Raw genomic sequence first — 25,080 nt, 5'->3', positions numbered from 1 at the left:
TGTCTCTGAAACTTGATATAATCAAATTATATCCCTTCTTCATTAAATTATGAAATTTCTCCTCTCAACACATTTTCTCCTCCCACCTGTCTTCTCTCTCTCTCTCTTTTCCCTATCCACCACCCCACCCCAGTTAATTCCAAATTATTTTTTTAAAGCTTATTTCAAATGAGCTCTTCAAAGAGGCCTTCCTTGCCTGCCTCTCCATAATCTAAGTAAGGTATCACTCCCTCTTTATATCTTGTGCCTCACTCTTTCATTTTTCTTTGCAGTATTTACCAAAGTTTGATGTTAAACAGTTATTGATGTGAGTATTCGGTAAATGTTTACTTTTCTCATTTAAATCTAGTTTTTGTGAAAGTTTGACCTGGCTCCTTTTTGTTCCCTGCCACCCAGATCTAACCAAGTGCCTTTCTCCTGCTACAGGTTCAAACACTATTTGTTAAATGAATGAAGTAAACAAAATAGAGACTTTCTTGTCCCCATCCATGGAATAAAACAATTTATTCATTCAACAAAGTTTTTCAGATGTCCCTAAAGTGCCAAAGTCTGTGAGAATTAAATAATAAATCCGATATAGCCTCTTTCCTTCAAGTTTTCAGAGTCTAGAGGGGAATGAAAAATACATATTCAAATAAGTATTTAAGGAACTGTAAGGGAAACCATAAACTTTATTAGTAAGATCAAATTTCAGTCCTACAAGGATGCCAGAGGAAGGAGACTCTCCACATGAGAAGACTGAGGTGGCCTCACTGCCCTGGGCTTGTGACCTCTCACATCAGGTGGATTTGAGTCCCCACGTTATTTCATGGTTGCTTGGCTTCCAGACATTTCACCTATTTGTGCAGCCACCCCCTCCTCTGTGAAAAGGTCAGTCTTCTAGTGGAAAGGCAATGCTGTTTTTACATAAAATGTTTTTAGCAGAATACTGTAAGTTCTATAATACTGAAGAAGATATACAGAAGACAAATCAACACATGAAAAGAAGTTCAGCATAATTAACCATCAGGGAAATTCAAGTTAAGTCCACAATGAGATATCCTACACACCTGTTAGCACAGCTAGCATGAACAGTGACACCAAATACCGGTGTGGACATGGGGAAAGTGGATCACTCATACAGTGCTGGTGGAATTGTGAAGTGATACAGACACTCTGGAAAACCGATCGTTTCTTTAAAAATTAAACATGAGACTACTACCCAGAAATCACATTCCTGGGCATTTATTCCAGAGAAATGAAGGCTTACATTGATTCAAAAACCTGTACACAAATGTTTATAGAGGATTTATTTGTTATAACCTCAACCTGGAAACAAACCAGAAGTCCTTCAACAGGTGAGTGGTTAAACAAACTGAAGTACAACCATACCATAGAATACTACTAAGTGAGACAAATAGATGAGCTATAAATATCTGCAAAAATCTGCATGAATCTCCAATTATGCCAAATGAAAAAAAATCTGCAAATGTACCAAATGATTGTTTACATAACGTTAATGAAAAGACATAATTATAGAAATGGAGAACAGATAAGTGGTTGCCAGGGATTAAACGTGGTGGAGATGGGAAGGAAGTTGGTGTGGCTGTAAAAGGGAAATATAGAAGATCCTTGCGGTAATGGAAATGTCTATTATCTTGATTGCATCAATGTTAATATCCTGGTTATGTTATTGTACTATAGATTTGGAAGATATTATCATTAAAGGAAACTGGATGAAAGGTTAATGGAATCTTTCTGTATTATTTCTTGCAACCACATGTGAATCTATTATACAATGATCTAACAATAAAAAGCTTAGATTTAAAAAGTTAAAAGATGAGCGCAATCTGGGAAAGAAGTATGTCAGTTTGTCAGTTGTCGGATGAGCCTTAGAACCTTGACATCATAATGGTGAGTGATCCTGACTACTGAGGAATCCTCGGGCTTCAAAGATTTGCCTGTAGTGCTCTGCAAGGTGCCGCAGACATGACTGATTTTCAATACCAAGAATGGAAGAATGAAGGATGTTCACATCAATCAAAAAGGTGGTCATTTAAAGCATCATTGCACAAGATATTCTTTTAATATATAATTTTTGATCATCAAAAAAGTTTTCTGTCTTGTTTCCTCTAAAACATATGTACTTATTCTTAACTTTAGAACTGGTTTCGTGGAGTTAGTCATGTTCATGAGATTTAGTGCTGCTGAGCTCGAGAGAGGTGTCTTTGTATTCTCAGGGAAGATACTTTCTTGGCTCTATAGGAGACAATTTTCTGTAGGTCTATGAAAATGTCTGCCCTATTTTTAAGAGTTTTTATGCTCTATTCAATCTAGCTGGTATTGCCTATTATGACCACAGAGTACTGTTGGAGCTTGACTATAGCTCAACCAAATAATATTTAAGCACTTTGTTCAGTTTAGCAAGTTTTTGATGTTTCCAGTATTATTTGGTGTTCTTTAGTAATTTTTTTTACCAAAATTTCAATATTTATTTCAGTAAGATGGGAGTCAGTTTTCCAGGATCCTCAGTTACCTAAATTTTCATGCTGATGAGGAGCCAAATTTTAATTACTTGTTTGCAAGCCTCTATATAATTTTGTTTTGTATATGTTAGGATGTCTTGTGTCTGTGTGCTTGTTTTTATTTTTATTAGTAAATGCTTGGTATGCAAAAAATATCAGATCCATCTGAGTCTTTTTTTGCACAGTGCAGCATAGGGCTTAGGTAGAGTAAATGTTAGGTGATTCAGTGGAAAGATGCTTCTAAAAAATATAAATTGGTTTAAAACATTAGGGAAATGTGATTATATTTTTAAAAATACAGTGAAACCCTATCTCTAAGGATGACATATCTGTGACTTTTATTCAGAATTAACTAGTAATAAATATTTATGGAGAGCTTTACAGTTTAAGAATGCTTTTCATAGCTTACTTCATTTTAAGTCTCATTATAACCCTATGAAGATACTATTTTTCCAGATTATATGTTCTATTTTATTACTATCATTGACATTTTGCCAGATTAGAGACCTGGTAATTTAAATTGTTTTAATGGTCTTTTGACATATATTACATATGCAAGGCATAGTGTATATTATATTATTAACTTTAAAAGTCTCTCCAAGGATACTTCAAACATAATCCTCTGTGGCTCTTGGCTCCACCCTCTGGGTCCTTGGTTTTCCCTCCGGACTTTGGGCACTGCTTTCTGTGTCATGTTTACATGCTCATGAAAAGTAGCACTTGTTTGCAGCTGAGTAGTTTTGTCTGTCTGTTTTCTGCCAATAGGATTTCTGAGTCTGACAGCCTTCTGTTATTCTGTACTCTTTCTGTCTTTTTCAAGCCAACCTGATGGTGCTTCTGCTAATATAAAATTCTCAAGAACTTTATGGGTCTCCATGGTTACCATTCCTACCGATCACTTCATTAGCTAGAAGTTATGTGTACCAAGTTTTCTGACATACTCGCTTTGTATTTTTGTCTGCTGCCTAGATGGCTGCAAGACAATGCCCCTAAGCTTTTTGAGTCCTTCTGGCTATATTGAGGGGATCTATGACCCACATCCTTAATCTCTTCAAAGAGCTTTTTCTGTGCCTGAGTACTATCATCATTTGATCTTTATGAAGGTTTAGTAACAGATTGTACAATCACACTCTGTATTTTTTATGCCACATTTTCTGAAGCATCCTCTTAATTTTGCTGTCTTTGGCATCTGTATAGGGTGAGAATCTCCCAACTCATCAAGTGTGGGTTCTCTTTCATTGAACAAGTTTGGATTATCTTTTGTTTAACAATTTCTCTTTCAACTTATCTTTCTCTTCTCACATGTTACTGTAAGTAGCAAGAAAAAAACAAAAAGCCACTTCTTTCAACTATCTGCTTGAAAATCTCTTCACCTAAAGATCCAAGTTCATCATTTAAAAAGACCACTTTCCACATAACTAGAGGGCACTATTATACTAAGTGTTTTGCCTGCTTATAACAAGGATCTCCCCTCTCCACTTTTCAATAACATGTTTCTTCTGAGCCCTCAGCAGCAGTGCCTTTAAAATCTGTATTTCCACCAACAGTTGTTTGTTTGGGGTGATGTAAGTAGTCTCTAAGGCAAGTTAGATTTTTCCCTATAATACTCCTCAGTATCTTCTGAACGCTTACTGGCAGAGTCTTTAATGTCCATATTTTTGCTAGCAGTCTGTTCAAGACAATCTAGATAGTTTTTTCCATCATGCTCCTCAAAATTCTTCCAACGTCCACTTGCTGCTGATTCCAATGTTGCTTCTGCATTTTAAGTGTTTATTACAGTAGCACCTCACTTTCAAGTATCACAGTCTATATTTGTTTTTTAGCCATTATAACCAATTACCATACATTTAGTTGCTTAAAGCAACAAGAATGTATTATGTTGCAGTTGTGTACATCAGAAGATTATGTGGGCTTGACTGGGTCCTCTAATTGGGGTCCCATAAGACTGATCAAGGTGTTGTCAGGGCTGCATTTCTTATTGGAGGCTCTCCAGAAGAAATTGCTTCTGATGAGCTCAATCAAATTTTGGGGTAAATTCATTTACTTGAGGTTGTGTACTGAGGTCCCCCTTCCTTGCGAGCTGTCACCCGGGGCTGGGTTTGTTCCTAGGGTGTGGCGGTATTTCTTTTCATGCTTTCCTTGTGGCTCCTGCCAGCAATGATAGATTGACCATAATTTTTAGCATTGTATCACCCTTGAAATTTGGCATAAAACTCTATCATATGTTTGACTACTGACTCTTCGTTTTGTTGTGTGCAATGTGTTGCAGGAAAAGCTCTTTTTCTGAGATGGACACCCACAGTGAGAAGGGTGCCAATTGTACCCTGCCAATCTATGGCTCTGTAGAACTCAAAAGAGGCTGGAGGAGGCAGAAGTGGCACCTCTTTCTGTTTAACGATTTGTTGCTTGTGTCTAATAGCAAGTACATATACATGACATGCTCTCCTGATTATCATAAGATGCATTTTTACTAACAAATTGCATTTTCATTAATCCTTACTATATGAAAATATAATTTTTTCTTCTGCTTTTGCAAATGCCTTGATCCTTCATTTACTCAACAGGTATTCTTGGAGGTCCTGTTGTGTGCAGCACCCCTGTAGAGAATATCATCAAGAATGTGACAGGCAGGGTCCCTTTTGCCTGGGACTTAATGACAGATGATAAAACTAAGAGAGGGGAAATTGCAGATTGTGAATAGTGATTCTAAGAAGAAGACAGATAGGGTACCATGTGGAGAAGATGTCACAGGGTAAGAGAGGTGTCATCCAAGAGGGCCTCTGTGAGGTGATGACATTTAAACCTGAGCTCTGGGATGAGAAGCAGCAGCATTCCTAGACCAGGTGGCTGAACCTTCTAGGCTGAGGGGACAACAGGCTTATGGTGGGTGCAGCTTGGTCCTTTGGAGGGAGGGGCTCCAGGAAGGCTGATGTGACTGGAAACAAATGCCTGGAGACATGATGTCAGACACAAGAGTGGTCACACAGGTCTTCATAGGGCATAGTGAGGGGTTGGAATATTATTCTGAAGGGTCAGTAGGGGAATGACCAAATCTGGTAAATATTTTTCGTATATTGTTCTGGCTGTTGGTAGATAACGGATTGGAGGGCAAGGAAAAGTGGAAGCAGGGAGACTAGTTAGGGAGGCAATTGTTCTGAAATATGATGACAATGGCTCTATGTTGGGAGCAACAATAGAAACGAATGATGCAGAAGGCAGAATTAGAATCTATGTTGGAGGCAGAACCAATTGCAGGTACTTTCCTCTCCACACGGAACACAAATGCAATATTAGAAAAATGGTGATTTCTTAAGAAATATCTGACATCAGGGAGATGGAAAGAACTGAATGGATGGCCATCTGTTTACCTGCTACATTTCTGTTTTCAATATTTATAAAATATCATGAAAACAAATAATATTTCAACACATAAAATCTCATCACAAAGCTTTGTCATCACCAGGGTGGAAAAAAAAAAAAAAAAAGGAAGAAAGAAACACCTTTTCTCTGCTGCCCTCATCCTGGTTTCCAATTAATCTGTGTCATAGATAAGATATGCAAGATCAAGTGATAATATTTGTAAATGCCATATTTAACCAGGGTGACAGTAATGATAGGTATGATTTATCAGGGGCAGATTATGTGTCAGGTCTTATGCTAAGGACTTTATGTGCCCAATCTTGTCTAATCCTTACAGCTGCTCTTGTGAGATTGAGATGGGGCTATTTTCCGTGTTTTACAGAAGGCCTTGAGGCTCAGAGGTCTAATGCTTCCCCCAGGTCACCACATTATTAGTTAGTGGAGTTCACATTTGAAATTCGATCTGTTTATTTCAAAGCACAGGCTGTTACCCAACATGTAGTGCTCCTGCCTCTATTCTTTATTTCTTTTCTTTTGGATTTTATAGAAGATTCCACAACTATTTGGTTTTTCTCTTACCAGCAAAATCAACCTTTCCCTTGCCGTGAGTAAAAGACCAACTTGCATCTGCTTGGTATGCAGTAAAAAATGGAGCAGATTGCACAGTGACTGGAGAAATGAATGAGAAGTCCAGCTATGAAAAAAAGTCAGAGACAAAAATGAAGATAATAAAATATATTTTGGATGAGTGCAATTGCCTAAATATGTAACTGTCAAGCTGGTGAGGTCATAAAGAGAACAGAAGATTATCTAGGTCTGGGCGTGAGGTCCAAGTGAAGTGCCCTGAAAGAGCCACTGATAGAGAATAAGTTACTACTGAGAAATATTTTTAGATTAGTTACCATTCTCTGTATTTAACCCAAGTAAGTACATATAGGAAACTAAAATTTACTGGAGAGATTCACAGGACCATACTAGAAACATCACCGAGGGCTCACCTAGTTTTCCAAAGTGCCTTCCAAGGCAGGTATTATCATCTCGAGGTTTTAGATATGAAAATGGAGGCTGAGAAAGGAACAGTAAGTGGCCCAAGGTCAAACACTGGGAAATTGCAGGAGAGACTGGAGTTCCTTGGACTGGAGTCCAAGGCTGTGCTCTTCCTGCTACCCCTCATTGTAACCAACCATGCTCAGCCTGAGAGATAAACAAGCAACTGGAGTTCTCATTCTCTGCTTCTTAGGACCTTGTGACCACTCATGTTTGATTTTTAAGGGACACATGTTTTACTCTACTTCTTTTTTCTTAACCTTTGTAATTATGATAGTATTTAGGGAGAGTAGACCTTAATTTTCTTACCAGAAGCCATTTATGTCCTAGACACTGATAACCCGTTAATGGGTTTTATAGAACCCGTAGTATTTTGCTAAAGACATTTCCTATAAAGACAATGTTCCCTTTCTGCTAGAAAATTTCATATATTTAAGAGCTGAATTTTTATTTTCCTTGGCTCATTATTACACACATGTGCAACATTTTTCATTTTTTGAATACTGCTTTGAGATAGTTCTTTGTATCCACGCAAATGTTTTCATGATGTGATGAAATATATATAAAGTTATTTAATAATATCCTTGTTTAAGATGTGCTGTTCCTGAAAGATCATTTTTATATACATTTTACATTCATTGGGATTATTAGAAAGTGTAAGTCATCTAAAACATCTGAAATTGGTTTGTAAGCCCAAGGTCTTTGAGATAGAGAAAACAGATTTTTTGAGAAAGTGGCTATCAGCACTGAATGCTACCACCTTGTACAAGTTTTTACCATAATTTTTACATTAGAAAATTCTGCTCTCAAATATTAAAGTCAGATGAGGACTTCATGATTACTCTTTATATTCATTAGAATGATAAATAGAAAGTTGTTTTTCCAATAAAATTATGACTTTTATTTATTTATTTATTTTCTTTTATTTATTTATTATTATTATACTTTAAGTTTTAGGGTACATGTGCACAATGTGCAGGTTAGTTACATATGTATACATGTGCCATGCTGGTGCGCTGCACCCACTAACTCGTCATCTAGCATTAGGTATATCTCCCAGAGCTATCCCTCCCCCTTCCCCCCACCCCACAACAGTCCCCAGAGTGTGATGTTCCCCTTCCTGTGTCCATGTGTTCTCATTGTTCAATTCCCACCTATGAGTGAGAATATTCGGTGTTTGGTTTTTTGTTCTTGCGATAGTTTACTGAGAATGATGATTTCCAATTTCATCCATGTCCCTACAAAGGACATTAAGACAGAATGTGCTTTATAAATATTAAGGTATTAATACTACTGGAGGTCCACGAAGAACTTACAAAAAGAAAGAGGCTGTACTTAGCTCACACCCTCTTTAGCCACCACTGCCATCTTATTTAAAAAATAGAGAATGAAAAATGAATTTTGTTTAGGTCAAAAATGAAGATGACTATTGACTTATTATCAATGGAATTACAAACAGATACTTATGGAATATGCCACGACCCTTACTCAGAAGCATCTGAGGGAACATCTCTATCTTAGAACTGGGGAAATATCCTTAGAATCCTGTAAATTTTCATGGTTCACTGGGGCTTCTACTCCAGTATAAAGACAGGTAGATCTCCTCCTCATCCTCCTCCTTCTCCTTTTTCTTCTTCTTTCTCCTCTTTCATCCTACTTCTTCTCTTCCTCCTCTCCCCCTTTTTTCTCCCTCTTCTCTTACTTCTTCTTCCTCTTTCCCTTCTTTTGCTGCTACTCCTATGCTTCCTCATCTTCCTCCTCCTCCTATGAGCCAGTTTATGTTAGACTCATACTTTCTCATTTCTACTGAAATAGTATAACAGTGTCAGTGATTGAAGAAACAGAGGGACTCTACAAGAATCCATTTGAACACAAAGCTATGTTGTAATACATTTAAAACATTTCCAAGGTATCTAGCTTTGTTGATATAATGTCATAAGATTTATCCCCTCATTCTCAAAGAATAATTCCATCAGCAAACCTGATGACTCTGGGGAAAAGAAGGGCAAGGGCAAGAATGATGAAGGGACTATTCTTCAACGCAAGAGCTTTAGAAGGTGGGTCAACACCTGCAGACGTTAAGTAATTTTGAGGATAGGCTTGCAAGTTAGGTCGTCTGTATTACAATGTGGGCAATTTACTTAACCTCTCCATGAGTTTCTTCATCTATAAAATGGGGCTAATAGCGACTATTTCATGTAGCTATTTGAGGAGTAAATAAAATAATGTGCATTAAATATTTAGAAGAGTGATTAGCACATGGTAGATGCTTAACAAATATTGTAGGAGAATGGAAACTATGTTCTGGACTTTGATAACTCCTTGGTTTGGTTTCAAGGAAGTAGATAATCTTAGCACTTTATTGAACTAAAGGGAAAAGTACTCAAATAAGTTACTCAGGTCAATATATATGGAAGTTTCCATACAGAATGTTAGGTATTTGTACAGATAGATACCTACATTAGAAAATTTAAAAATCTGTAAAAACAAGCAAGTGTGTGTCTGTATTCTGAGTAGAACATACATTTTTAGTTTGATTAGTACCTTTAGAGCTGCTACCTAGAAAAATAATTTTATCTGATAATTTATTGTTTCATAAAAATCTTCAATTACACAAACATAGGGTAAAAAATGTTAAAAAATATAGAAAGATGCCCCCTTTTATCACAAGACACTTTTCTTATAATCAATATGCCCTAAGCTTTGCATCTAGATTATTTTTCATGTATGCTTCCAGCAAAGTTATTTCCATTTCATAAATTCCATTGAAGAGTTTTAATGTTAAGTGTCCCATGAATGAATGAAGTCACAGGGAGATTTCCACATGAGATGTCTTTGATCTTGTTGTAGCTTTAGTGTTTCCACAAGTACTTCTGACTAGTGGGAAGTCCCCGAGTGCTGTGCCCACAGTGCCTGTGAATCCTTCATCAGGCTTATAACTATTTAAAACGCAGGTCCACCTGAGCATTAAATATGTAAATTAACCCAGGAGATATGGTGGTTTCTATGTTAGAGGGCTAAGGTGGATTAGGCAGAAATGGTCAAAAAGCAATTTCACTGCTGACAAAGTTGATCACCTTCTTACTCTCCATAGATAAATGGGAAGTGTGTCCATTACTTACATAGAAGACCTGCTGGCCTCTGGTTGGGATTTGTTTGGTTTTGTTTTCTAAGTTAGATTCAGTCTGTAGGCTATAGTTTTTCAGTTTTAATCAGAATCTATAAAAAAGTGGTGTGAACAAAATCTTAAGAAAGGAAATTTAAAATAACCTATGCTTTAAAGGCTAGAAAGTATTACAAAAATCAAAGTTAAAATGTATTTTACATCCCTGTAATCCAAGGTTATATTTTTTAGTCTAAGTACGAATTTTATAAATACTTTTAAAAATCGTGTACTTTTAAATTTTTGTTGAGAACCTAAATTTTTTGAAGCAAGACATAGATAATAAATGAATTAATGGTTCTATAAAAAAGCAGTATCTTTATAAGATAAAGTATGGTCCACAGCTGTTTTCTACCCTCCGTAAAGTGTGTGGCCAGGCTTCTCTCAGGACACACTTTGCAAATGCCCATCTGGCTATTCCATGGCGTGTGTCCAGTAATAGAGATGAATGAGAGGCATGCTTTGCCCTGGAACAGGGAGAACTGGTGTCTTCCCATGAGCAGAGCTGCTCCTACAATATTTAAGAAACAAACAGAGATCTTGCTTGATTGTCTTTCTAGGTATAGAAATTTTTCTGATAAAAAATAAAATACCTCTGAATAAGCTGTGTGCAGCTGACTGTGCAGACAAAGTTGGGAAAGGCCACACCTGTGCCAAGGGGTGCCTTCTCTTGGGCTGGCCCATGGTGAATTTTGTGGCCACCTTCCGGTAAGACCCCAGCTACTGGTAAGACCCCAGCTTGGCCCTGTGTTTATAGGAGTTAGCTATGAAAGAACACAGTCAACTTCATAGTGTCTAGGACAGGTAGAAAAATGTAATTAAAATTTTCTCTGAACTTTCTTGAAATGCAAAACATTATAATATGATGTCTATTAAGCCAGTAACTCACTTTTGACCTCCTCTATGACACTTATATGCTTTGTACTTTCCCCAAAGAGGTTTTTATGTGCAGATATGTGTAAATAGTCATTAAAGTGTGGAACCATTGGAACAATTTTCTTCGGCTTTGGTCAGTTGTTTTTCGACAGTGCTCTTTGAGTACTTGGGGAGTGAGTGTGCAGGGGTTGTGGAGAGTTGAGGGAACAAGGCTGTAGGCCTCCCTCTCCAACATCCTCCTTCCATTATGCCCAGTCTTATCTGTGTTTTTAAACTTCTAGAATAGATCATTCTTCACTGAGTATTATTCAATAGTCCATTTAAGTTTGAAAAAATGCTTTTATACTCCTAAACTGATTTCCCAAATAAATAGTATTTAATGATACAAATAGACCTGGTGCCATGTCTTATGTTTGTAATCCTAGCATTTTGGGAGGCGAAGTGGGAGGATCACTTGAGGTTAGGAGTTTGAGACCAGTCTGGGCAACATAGCAAGACCCCATCTTAAAAAAAAGTATATACATACAAATAAAATTAATGACATCACCAAATACTGGGTTGCCTGAATTGTTATGTAGCAGACTATCATATTTGGTATCCATAGAGAGATAACAATCGAAAAGAATAGTTTGACTAATGGAGCATAGGCTAGTTTTCCAATACACATTCTTAGTCTGGTATGAGGATGGGTAATGTGGCTTCCTACCCTGGATATCCTTTCGTTGACATCGGGTTCAGGTTCACAGGGATCATGCAACATGTATCTCCTGCTCTGAGCAACCACACACCAAGTGTCATACTTGTTTTACACAGCAAGGGTTCAACGTATGCACTCTTCTTTCCTCCTCACTCCACTCCACCAAAATCTCATGCATCATCATAAAGTTGAAACAACTAAAATGTTTCCAAGTTCTTAATCTACTAAATTCTATAATTCACCTACCTACTTAAGGAAAACATTTCCAAAGCTTACTGGGAACAAATACATGTTTGTATCATTCCCTGCATATCTTGTTTTCCATGACAGATTTCCGTAAAGGTGATTAGTTCCTATTGCTTAATGCCTTCTCCATGTTGCAGGTGAAAGCAAGCAGTTTAAATACCTTTTAATCAAAGAGAAGCCTTTGATTAGAAGGTTTCTAAGAAACTTTTTTTAATGATGGAGGAAATGTGGAAACCAGGTTTACAAATGTCATATTGGCTATAAAGCCATATGGATATGTAAAAGGCAATTACAACAATGCCTGGCAACTAGTTCTTTTGCTATTTGCTGTTATTACTCTTCTACAGTTTGGCCTGAGTAGTAAGACACTGTATCCATATAGGTATGCAGATTGGGGGCAGTGGGCAGTGGCAACTGGGAGTGGGAGAGCTGTTGCTAGTGGATATATAAAATGTGGCAGACCCTGCGGAAAAGTTTGATGGTTCCATAATAAGTTAAATACAGAATTACCATTTGACTTGGCAATTTATTCCTAAGTATAGACCGAATAAAAATAAAAAACATAACATCTACACAAAACTTTGGCACAAATGTTTATAGCAGTATTGTATTAATATATAATTGCCAAGAAGTGGAAACAAACAAATGTTCATCAGCTGATGAATAGATAAACAAAATGTGGTACAGGTGCTGAGGGCAGCGGGGAATGAGGGGTGAGTGACTGCTTGACAGGCATAGTGTGTGCTTTAGCGGTAATGAAAATGTTCTGAAACTAGAATGTGTAGCTGGTTTCAAAATATTGTGAATGTACTAAATGTCACTAATGGACAATTGCATGCTATATGCAATTTGCTACTTTTTTAAAAAAAAAGCTAGAGGTTTATAAGTCCTTACAAATGAGCCTTAACATATTCTCAATTTGGATATGGAACACTGCAGTGAAATAGTGGAGAAAATATTACTCATTAGTAAGAAACAGGTGAATTGATCTCAATCAGAGAATTGTAGCAATGAGGAGTAAGTTTTCTAGGAACCAATTAACCTATTGCAATTTATTTATCTTGTAAAGAAATAAAATATTGGCTTTTTTTCTCTAAAAAATGTATTGTTTCTTGGCCAAGAGTGTTCCATCCAAATGCCAAATTTCTTGTCTGATTTAACCTGAAAAATAATATTCTTTATATTTGAATAGCACTTCAAGCTATAAGAACAATTGGAGGTTTAATTAACACGCGTTTCAGTTGTGGAAACCGGAGCTCAGAGCAGTTAAGTGACTTGCCTGTGATGACATAGCTTGCATCACATAGTTATAATTAAGTGTTTAACTTCCAAACCAACCTGTCTTGCACTCTGAGATCTATTTCCCCTCACTGTAATACTGCCTGTGAAAGAGCAGGGCCCATCAAGGCCCAGTTATGAGGAAGGTACAATTTACACATGTACCCACATCATAACAACCAGCTGCCGACATTTTTATCTAGAATGACAGTCTTAATATGTTGTTATAAATATTTTATGTAGTTTAACTTTTTCTCCCATTTTTAAAAATTGTAGTTCTTCAGAACTGAAGGAATGCTGGTGCTCTTTCCTAGAAAGGCATTTTATTCTGTCAGTATACATATTTTAAATATTTAACTTGTGATAAAAATGCAAATCTCTATTCACATTCCCCTTTTTATAATAGAAATTTTTAGACTATCCTCAAACAATTTATCCTGGCTGCCTTGTAAATAATGTTCTCTCATTTACCTGCATATTTTTTTAATTTTTATTTTTGAGGAAGTGCTGATTACCACTCTCATCTTTCTCTTCTCTCCCCATTATAGATGGGAGATAACATTATTCTTTTATTTATTTTTGAGACAGAGTCTCACTCGGTTGCCCAAGCTGGAGGGCAGTGGCGGGATCATGGCTCACTGCAGCCTCAACATCCCTGGGCTCAGGTGATCCTCTCACATCAGCCTCCGGATTACAGGTGTACACCATTATGCCTAGCTAATTTTTTGTATCATTTTGTAGAAGAAGAGTTAGACCATCTTGCCAAAGTTGGTCTCAAACTCCTGGGCTCAAGCAACCCACCCACCTCGGCCTCCCAAAGTGCTGGGATTACAGGTGTGAGCCACCATGCCCAGCCTATTCTTAAGACATAGAGTAAATTTCCAAGCCAGGAATGGTGGCTTGTGCCTGTAATCCCAGCTACTCCAGAGGCTGAGGCAGGATGATTGCTCTAGGCCAGGAGTTCAAGACCATCCTGGCCAATAGTGAGACTCCATCTCTCCATTAAAATAAAAATTTAAAAATAATGAAAGAAAAAATTTTCATAAATGTAGGTTACTCTACTGAGTGATTCTCAAAGCAGCTGCTACTTTCTACTCCTGAACCCAGAAAGATGGTAGGCCTTCCAATCCAGGCAGGAGTGCATGAGAATGAGATTGGTTCTGCTGCCCATATATTTTATTACAGAGCAACCTGTTATTTTCTGGGACATGTCTTATTTCCTGAAATATTCTGCACATTTTCCCAATCCACAATTTGATCTTGCTTAGTCTAGTCGTACATTTTAAAAAATAACATAAGGTATACTAAAAATATTAGCAACAAAGATTGATTCAATAATAAGCTCTTAGCTAATTTATGCTACTCTGGCATTATTATTAAATCCAATTTATTATTAGATTTATTTTATTTATTAGATACATCTAATTTATTATTAGATTTAATATTATTAGATTTAATTTATTATTATATTAGGTACATAAATCTAGCCAAAGAAAAGGACCACCCGAAGAACATTCCCCTTCAAATCTTCACTGAGGACATCAAGAAATGTGCCTCTGTAAGTGTTTTTAAGACCAAAAATTAAATTCAAAATTCCAGACTTAGGCAGAATGAAAGGGAGAGACAGAGTTGACAGAGCTAGAATGGGGAGGAAGGGAAGGAGAGATAAAGGGAGGAGAGAAAGAGTATTTAAAAAGTACCAAATGGAAAACTATATTTTTATATATTCGTGTATGCTTTTGCATGTATAAAAAGAAAGTGCTAGGCAATATGAAGCAAGAGGATCCATTTTAACTACAGTGCTTAAGCTTGAAAGGAATATTGCATGTTAAATATCTGTAGACTCTAGTGGTTTGTTGTAGTAAAGTGATTTTCGCAAGCAGGAATTTCTTGTTGAAATTAAACATTTTTTTTTCCAATTGTCACTACTTACAGACACAGTAGTTTTGGTTGTTTCCAGGTTTTTAAAAAACGTTTATTTTATTTTTAAAAGTTATTCACTTGGAAATAATTGTAAACATACAGAAAAATACAAAATAATGCAAAGAACACCCGTATGCTATTTACCCAGATTCACCTATGTTGTACCAGTTTACCACATTGATTTTCCATGTATTTTCATTCTCTGTCTGTCTCTGTCTCTCTCTCTTTTTTCTCCATTTATGTGTATGCGTACACCTGTTTCAAAGGACAGTTATGTACACTATGGCCCCTGATTCTTAAATACTTACGCATTTCCTAAGAATAAGGTTATTCTCTTCATAACCATCATTCAGCTGTCAACTTTAGTAAACTTAACATTGGTCGCATATTTTAATCTCCCATTCACGTTCCGATTTTGTCAGTTGACCCAAATAATGTTCCCTTTCTAGCCCAGGTAATGCAGTTAATTGCTATGTCAAATACACAGAGTTTTGAGTCTTTCATTCTGAAGAATGTCAGAATTGAACTGAGCTGAAAGGGACATCACTTTTAAGTGATCAGCATGTTTCTACCTCATTTCTTTTATGCTGTTGGTTTTTAAAAAAAATCAAACTTTTACCTTCAAATATTGTGTAAGTTTTGATATCTGAAGTTGTAGTGCAGTAGCCAGGTTGTTCATAATGATGACAAGATATTCTTCATATATTTTTATGGCACCTTACTCTTTACAGCAGCTCTGATCATGCAAAATAGTATCTGTAGGAGGAAAAAATGATATTTCAAAAAAGTTATTTCCTGGCCAATAGCAAAAGCCATGCGAATGTTCTGACCTATTTCCAAATACCAGATGCATTGCTTGAGGGAGCTGAGACTAGAGAGGCCTCCTGTGGGGAAGGACACTCTTGTCTGCCTGCTTTGATTTCATTGTGGCAAATGATAACATTCAGCACTTTTCATGAAAACTTGCCCTGAAATTTAAAAAAGTAAACTTTATTTAGTTATAATTTAGATGAAAGAAACATTTCTAATGCTCATCACTCATTTCCAAGTTCCACTCATCACTCATAGCTCCAAGTTTCCCTTTAATACTGTTTCATTTCATTTTATAGAAACTTTTCTTACCATTTCTTATAGTGTAGGTCTGGTGCCAACAAATTTTCTTAGTTTATTTTTAATTTAAAAAATGTCTTTATCTCACCTTCACTCTTGAAAGATATTCTCCTTAGATATAGAATTTTCCTTGCCAATATTTTTCTTTCAACACTTTAATGCTACTTCACTGTTTTTTGGTCTCTTTGCTTTCTGATGAGTAGTCTAACATCATTAAACATTGATCTTCTGTCTTTGATTTTTCATCTTATTTTTACTGCTTTCAATATTTTCTATTTATTTTTGGCCTTGAGTAGTTTGATTATGATGTGTCAAAGCCCAGTTTTCTTTGAATTTATTCTAGTTGGCATTTTCTGAAGTTACTGATTTTGTTAATTTTTATGTTTTACCAAATTTGGGAAATTTTTAGCCGTTATTACTTCAAGCATTTTTTTTCCATCCCATTTTCTTTCTTCTGTCATTCTGGGATTCAGTTACATGTAAAACTTTTTTTTTTTCTTTTGAGACAGGGTCTCACTCTGTCACCCAGGCTGGAGTGCAGTGGCATGATCTCGGCTCACTGCAACCTCTGCCACCTGAGTTCAAGCAATTCTCCTGCATCAGCCTCCCAAGTAGCTGCAATTACAGGAACTCACCACCATGCCAAGCAATTTTTGTATTTTTAGTAGAAACAGGGTTTTACCATGTTGGCCAGGCTGGTCTTGAACTCCTGACCTCAAGTGATCTGCCCTCCTCGGCCTCCCAAAGTTCTAGGATTACAGGTGTGAGCTACTGCACCCATCCCATGTAAAACTTTTTAAAATTTCATTTTTATTTTTAGACACACAATTATACACATTTATGGGGTAAATAGTGATGTTTCAATACATGCCATGTATAATGATCAGATCAAGGTAATTAGCATATTCATCATCTCAAACATTTACCCTTTTCTTGTGTTGTGAACATTCAATTTTCTCTCTTCTAGATATTTGAAAATGTATATTATTGTTAACTATAATCATCCTACAGTGTGATAAAACACTAGAAGTTATCCCTCCTATCTAGCTGTAATTTTGTGTCCTTTAACAAATCTCTTCTTATCCTTCGATTTCCCCTGCCCTTCCCAGCATCTAGTAGCCTCTATTTTCCTTTTTAATTTCTTAAGATCAAGTTTTCTTTAGCTTCCACATATGAGTGACAGAATGCATTTATTGAACCTGTTGATATTGTTCACAGGTCCCTTAGGCTCTGTTCATTTATTTTTAATCCCTTTTTTTTTCTCCTTCTTCAGATTGGACACTTTCTATGGATTTATTTTCAATTTCACTGATTCTTTCATTTGTTATCTCAGTTATGCTATTTAGCACATCAAGTAAATATTTTCATGTATTTGTCAGATTTAAAATGCCTGTTTTGAAATATATACTATGTCTATGATGAGATTGTCTATATTGTTACTTGTGAAATTATTTTTCTTTACATAATTGAGCATAATTATAACAACTGTTTTTTGTTTCATAATTTGAACATCTAGATCACCTTAAAGTTGGCCTCAATTGGAATTGGTTACATTTTCCTAGATTTTCATATGTTAAGAAACACTTTAGCTCATATGAAGAAAATAGCCACATTTCAATTTTTTAGGAAATTATTTAATAGTTTATTTTTTTAAAATACTTGTTTATAAACAGCACTACCTACTGGAATTTTTCTGTTTTGTCTACAAGGAGAACAGCATTAGGAAGAAATACACATATCTTTGTAATTATTATTTGGGACTTAATATGTTCCTTATGCCATGAAAACCCATTATCCTACAAACCATATTAAGAGATGCATATTGTCATTTTAAAAGAGATTTTTACTTCACCAAAGATTTCATGGTAGAATTTTAAAATTATATGAAAGGACTTTCAGACATTTTAAAAAATAGCAGAACCTTTCCTTCTAATTAAATCCCACACTAGAGCCCAGAGCTTGCACCCTCCTAGACACTTTAGCGTAAGCAGCCCTGATATCCCTGAGTTTGGGTGCTCTGAGCCCTGCTGTTGGGTTCTGAGACACTTGTTCACAATCCTTAGATCTACAAGCAGCACAGTTTGAAATCGATGAATATAAGATGACTTTGTTCATAAAAATCCAATTAATAACTTTCAGCACCATCTGTCCTGTCAAGCAGTTAGTCCATAAGAAAGAAAAATCCAACGAAAAGAATAGTAATGAATTGTAAAAGAGTTTCCTCTAATTTTGTTTTTAACATCATCTTTAAGGCGCATGAGAGTCCACTTATGCTTTTTGTCTTCTTTAAGCACTGTTTATCAGAGAAAGGAGCCCTCATTATGGATGCATATGCATAGTAAATGTTCTTAGTTACATATTTACTTATTTTAAAATAATGTATTTTGAAATTCAGAGTGCAATAGTTGTCATCTCAGAATCCTATTAATCCTTTTGGGTTATTTTCTGCAAATTGTCTTCCTGTTTTTATGGAGCAGTTTCTCAATGTGAAGTGCAGTAGAGAGCTACTATAGATACCCTATTCGTTGGCAGAGTTGGAAATGGAACTTAAATTTCTAAAATTTTATTTAATTGCCTCAATAGATTTCAACAATGAAGTTCTTAGTAACCATGATATCCAGCACAGAGAAAATGCTTGCCACACAGGGGTTTAAAAGATGTCTTTTATAGCTAGTTCTTATTCTGATTGTACTAGAACTGCATTTGTGATGTGCAAAGATATAAGCCATATGATAAAAACACAACCCAGGAAGAGAGAAACAGCCCAGCTCCTCCTTTTTAAACTGTTCTCTCCATTGCGGAAGTAGCCTCCCGAGGCTGAGGGGCAGCCCCTGTGCCCTCTGTGAATTCTCAGTCTTTCTATTTCTTGACTGTGCTGTTATCTCACAAGCGCCACAAGTCCTTTATTTTAAGAGAGAGATATATGTTTTACTGAAATTCTTTGTACTGGCTTCATGTTATATAAAGGAATGAAAATAAATTATAATTAAGGATTCAGGCTCTACATGTGCTTAACTTTGTCATTACCTGGAAATAAGCTGTGTCTTTGGAATACAGCTAATAATTTGACAATAATTATTTAATCTTATGCAATAAATTCCAAATTTATAGTAATTTTTCTCATTTCTTTTTTACGGTCTATAACCATAGTGATAACAAATTCAGACACAACAAATGACATAATCGACATGTCACTACTAAAGCTAGGAATAACTGTAAGTTATCTATAAGTTATTTTTGTTAAAAACCAACTTTGATTTTTGAATTTATATACATTCAACTATATATGTGTATATGTACATGAACACACATACACACATGTGTTTGTATAATGCACCTCCCATGATAAGACAGCTATTATAGATATCAAAGTCATATTTTGTACTCCCACATTTAGGAATGGAAGGCAACAAAGGTATTTTTTTATTTTTTTATATTTTAGATGGAGCTCACTCTGTTGCCAGGCTGGAGTGCAGCAGCGCAATTTCGGCTTACTGCAATTTCTGCCTCCCAGGTTCAAGTGATTCTCCTGCCGCAGCCTCCCAAGTAGCTGGGACTACAGGCACCCGCCACCACGCCCGGCTGATTTTTGTATTTTTAGTAGAGACAGGGTTTCACCATGTTGGCCAGGATGGTCTCCATCGCTTGACCTTGTGATCCACCCGCCTTGGCCTCCCAAAGTGCTGGGATTACAGGCATGAGCCACCGCGCCCGGCCTAACAAAGGTATATTTTAAATTTGGTGTGAACTGAAAGTGAAAACATAATGAAATCAGGCTACAGTTTTAGAGCACTAACATATATGTGTAAATATATATGTTATTGGTGCTCTAAAACTGTAGCCTAATTTCAATATATGTTTGAGTATATATTGAAATTTGATATATATTCAACTATATAATCAAATATATATTGAAATTTGATATATACATACAATTTTAGAGCACTAATATAATTATGCTAGTACTTTCAGTTCACACCAAATTTAAAATGGAAATACAAGAAGTGTACCCACATATAAGCTAATATTATATTATACCTTTGTTGCCTTCAATTCCTAAGTGTGGGAGTACAAAATATGACTTTGATATCTATAATAATCAGCTTTCTTATGATGGGTACACATATACAATAAAATTTTGTAAAATTCTTGATAAAAAGTTCCAAACTCTTCGACTGCACTGTTCTTTCAATATCTTTTTTCCTGGTTCCTCTCCTCTCGTACTTATTACTCACTCTGATTATCACCAAGGGCTCAATCTCAGTATGAAGAGTCCTAAAGCATACATTTTGTTGTAAGTTTGGCACAAAGAACACCTGGCTAGAAACCACATCCCCTGGATGCTGATCCTGAGAATTCGATATCTGATGCCTCTCCTGAATTTATAAAGGAAGAGTGGTGTGTCCACCAGTGCCTACAAATCCATGGCCTCCAGGTTTGCATGACTTTTGTTTTCAAGTGTATGTTTCTTTATGTTTTGATGGAGCTAGTATAAGTTGTTGAGTTTTTTTAGTGGAAGAGGTTGACATATTTGAGGATGAAGATGAGGGTTGCATAAGAGGAAAGAGGTAAGTCCACATAATTGAGAACTTTTATTGAAGAGTGACATTCAGATGGACAGAAACAAGAAAATACTTGTATAGCATGGCTTCTTATATAAAACTTCCCACCAACATGAAAACATGTTGTTGTGGTGACATGATGTGAATATTTTAAGTTTTGTTTGAGTGTTATAATAAAGCCCCTTAAAAACTCAAAACAACCAGAATTTTGCATAAGAAATCAATTATTTCTGAACTAGCGGATTTGTGTAACACATTTAAAACAAAATTGAACTTGTATGTACTAAGTAAAGCAGACACTTCTGCATTGCTTTCTAACCTATATGATATGTGTGACCTATAAGAATGTAATCTTGGGCTGGGCACGGTGGCTCACGCCTGTAATCCCAGCAGTTTGGGAGGCCGAGGTGGGTGGATCACCTGAGGTCAGGAGTTCGACACCAGCCTGGCCAACATGGTGAAACCCTGCCTCTACTAAAAACACAAAAAAAATTAGCCAGGCGTGGTAGGGGGCACCTGTAATCCCAGCTACTGGGAAGGCTGAGGCAGGAGAATTGCTTGAACCTGGGAGGCAGAGGTTGCAGTGAGCCGAGACTGCACCATTGCACTCCAGCCTGGGCGACAGAGCAAGACTCTGTCTCAAAAAAAAAAAAAAAAAAAAAAGAATAAAAAAGAAGAATGTAATCTTGTCTTGAAGACAGCAAGTGGTTTTAGGTGTGGGATTGGGGAGATTAATTAAAAATAAAATGTAGCTTAATTTATTTCAGGTTTGTGATTTTCCTTTTTTAAAAAATGACCAGTCTTACTAGACAACAAAGGAATCCTATTGCAATCAAGAATTGAGGTTATGGCCGGGCGCGTTGGCTCACGCCTGTAATCCCAGCACTTTGGGAGGCCGAGGCGGGCAGATCATGAGGTCAGGAGATCGAGACCATCCTGGCTAACACAGTGAAACCCTGTCTCTACTAAAAATACAAAAAATTAGCCGGGCGTGGTGGCGGGCGCCTGTAGTCCCAGCTACTCAGGAGGCTGAGGCAGGAGAATGGCGTGAACCCAGGAGGCGGAGGCTGCAGTGAGCCGATATCACACCACTGCACTCCAGCCTGGGTGACAGAGCGAGACTCTGTTTAAAAAAAAAAAAAAAAAAAAAGGTTATTTGGCTAGATATGTATACCTGACTTAAGGGATTTCAACAGAACGCTTCCAAACTTTACATTAAAAGATTTTTATTAGATCTTACTCCCTATTTGCAATACAATTTTGAGAAAATATGCTCTCTCTCTCTCTCTCTGTCTGTGTGTGTGCGTGTACATGTGTGTGCATGAGAGAGAGAGAGACAGAAAGGCAGAGAGCCTCCCTACCTAGGACACTCCATAAGGACAAGGCCATGATTTTTATTAAGGAATGAAGGGCAATCATAGCGCTTATCAAGAATAACTCCATTTGAAACATGCTTTCGCTTTAGCCTTTCTTGAAAGACTATTTACAATAATTCAGCATTCTACATAATTTAGATATGTCTGTGGCAAGATTGCCAGTATTGCTGGGCAATACTTCTGCTGTGGATAATTGTTCTTTGCATCTGGCCTGGTCCCCAGGTCAGTGTTTGTCCCTTCTCTCCCCACAGTAGGGCTTATCTGAATGAAAGCCAGAGGCCTGACTTCACTCTCACATCTCTTCAAGACCTCTTGGGCATTTGTCTCTTTGTGCTCAGGTTTAATGAGCTTCTGATGCCTTCCATGTGGATGTATCGCTGTCTGTGCAACAGGCTTGTCTGGGCAGGGAGATGTGAAGGCAAAGTTCAACATTCTCCAAAAAGTCTGTATAGCAGAAAGCATGACTCCCCAGCTAGCCTTTTCTTTTTTAGTGAGGGAGTGTATATGTGATTTTGTATTCCATGGGTCACTCAGAAAGTGAGGGATTGATTGCACTGTGGTTTCACAGATCCATGGCCTTTCAAAAGGGACAAGGCAAGAATCTGGAATAGTTTATTAGAAGCTGGGTGGAAAACAGGGGTTACTGAAATCAGCCCTGTTAACTCAAAAACCATGGCCAGCCCCATAGATAAAATTGCATTTTGACTGGTCCTAGTTCCTTTCCTTTCTGAAAATGTAGAAATCCTAAGGAAGTGTGATCCTCTTCAAATATTTACTGTGAAAGATTTGTTGTAATTCTTATTAGTTCATTTTGTCTTTAAGGGTGCTGAGAAAGATTACCAGTTATGGGTCAGGTCTGGCAAAAAAGAGTCCCCATCCCCACTTTCCTAAGTGTCAAGGAAAATCTAAAATGAGATTGATTGGGTTCGAAATTGTAACTCTAAAGTCTCCAAGTATTGATTGTTCGTTGCTTGGTCTTAAGGTTGAACATGTTTAAAAGCAACAATCTTACGCAATATTTATTCATACATTCAACAAATAATGGCCAAACACTTACTTTATCCCAGGTACCTGATAACATCTATTCATTCAGCAACTTATGGTCTAATTGGGAAGAAAAATGTTTTGTTTTGTTTTTTTTTGAACTGTCTGCTCTTTTAATTGACAAACAGCTTTCTTGAAAGAAACTATTTTTTGTCACGAAATTAGCATGTATTCGAATTTCTTTTTCCCCGTGTGAAAACTCTGTTTCATTTCCTAACTACTAGGTAACTTCTACTTTGTAAGGAATTTCTAAAATCCAGTCATGCCTCTGAATCCAAGTACAAATATTTATTTAACACCTGCTTAATGCCCAGAACTTTTCTCAGGATAATGAAAATATGATTCAGACTTCTGAAGAGCTTTCCTGACTGACCAACTTGGACTTTGCTGTTTCTTAGGTTGAATTTTCTAGCATTTGTCCTTGAGGTTATTGATGAGTAGATTATGCCTATCCTAAAACAGGTATTAGGATAATTTATCTAATGAAAGATAATTCTTACATTACCAACATTTTTAAATGTGATTAATAGAAACAGAGTGATTAAAACGAGGGAGGGGATTGGATCTGTGGCTGACCTTGCAATAGCGTGATGGTGATGATTTCTGCTAAAAGTCATAGAGCATTCCCTCTTACCTGCATTCTTTCTCTCTTTTCCTTTATCCTTTCAAGAATCATGTGAGGCCATTACTGTGTAATGCAGGATGTTTTCAAGTGATTCAAAAAAATCTAAACTACCAAGTTGTTTTCTATGTAATATACATTCTCATCTAGAAAACAGTGTCACCAAGTACATAGCTGAGAACAAAATTCACTCATCCATTTCATTTTTGAAATTAATGTTGACATCTTTGCAAAAATATTAGCAATAAAGTAAGTTAAAAAAAGTAAATGAATACTGGAAATATATTTATTTAAATAAAATGTTTTAATTTAGCTAAAACAGTGTCTAAATGACAGATAACTCTTAGGCCTAGAGCAGCACCACTCATCATGGCTAGCACTAAGAAATCCGAAGAGTCTATCACTCATGATGGCTCCTGAGTAACCATGCTGAATGCATATTTTAAAATGTTCTCAATCATTGATTGTGGATTAACTGCTGGTTATCCTGAGGAGTTGGTTTTATTGTGTAGCTCTCATAGAAGCTTCTTTTGCCTTACAAAATGCAAATTGTAATTCATGTTCTAAACAAAGTATTGACATACTATCAATGCCAGATGAAAAAGAAAAAACAAGAGCTCACCAGGATAAATTCAGTGAAAAATGGGAAAAGGGAACTTTATTCTTAAAAAAAAAAAAAAAAAAAATCTTAAGAGCTGTGAGACAGAAACACCAGGTAACCTACTTATAAAGGAAAACATATCAGATTAACAGCAGATTTCTCAGCAGAAACCCTACAAACCAGAAGGGATTGGGGCCCTGTCTTCAGCCTCTTCAAACAAAACAATTATCAGCCAAGAATTTTGTATCCAGCGAAACTATGCATCATATATGAAGGAAAGATATAGTAATTTTCAGACAAACAAACCCTCAGAGAATTAACCATTACCAAGCCACCAATACAAGAATTGCTAAAAGGAGCTCTAAATCTTGAAAACAAATCCTGGAAACACATCAAAACAGAACCTCTTTAAAGCATAAATCACACAGGACCTATAAAACAAAAATACATGTTAAAAAGCAAAAGCAAAAAAAAAAAAAACCCAAAGTACACAGGCAACAAAAAACACCATGAATGCAATGGCACCTCACATTTCAAAACTAATATTGAATTTAAATGGCTTAAATGCTCCACTTAAAAGATACAGAACCACAGAATGGATAAGAATTCACCAACCATCTGCTGCCTTCAGGAGACTCACCTAACACATAAGGATTCACATAAACTTAAAG

General features: G+C 36.4%; 1 long non-coding RNA gene across 2 annotated transcripts; it reads left to right on the top strand.

The window, feature by feature from the left end:
* The first annotated feature begins 1,929 nt into the window (after window positions 1-1,929).
* Window positions 1,930-6,612, top strand: LOC124900770 (uncharacterized). 2 transcript variants are annotated; one of them, XR_007058254.1, is made up of 2 exons: window positions 1,930-2,027; window positions 6,447-6,612. It is a non-coding gene; the product is annotated as an uncharacterized LOC124900770 (long non-coding RNA). The 2 variants fall into 2 exon arrangements; XR_007058253.1 differs by lacking the exon at window positions 1,930-2,027 and adding an exon at window positions 5,115-5,387.
* Window positions 6,613-25,080: the final 18,468 nt, after the last annotated feature.

This window comes from Homo sapiens, chromosome 4 (assembly GCF_000001405.40).
Source record: "Homo sapiens chromosome 4, GRCh38.p14 Primary Assembly".
Taxonomy (NCBI): Eukaryota; Metazoa; Chordata; class Mammalia; order Primates; family Hominidae; genus Homo; species Homo sapiens.
The sequence above is the reverse complement of the archived record's forward strand: the minus strand, read 5'-3'. Positions and strand labels throughout refer to the sequence as shown.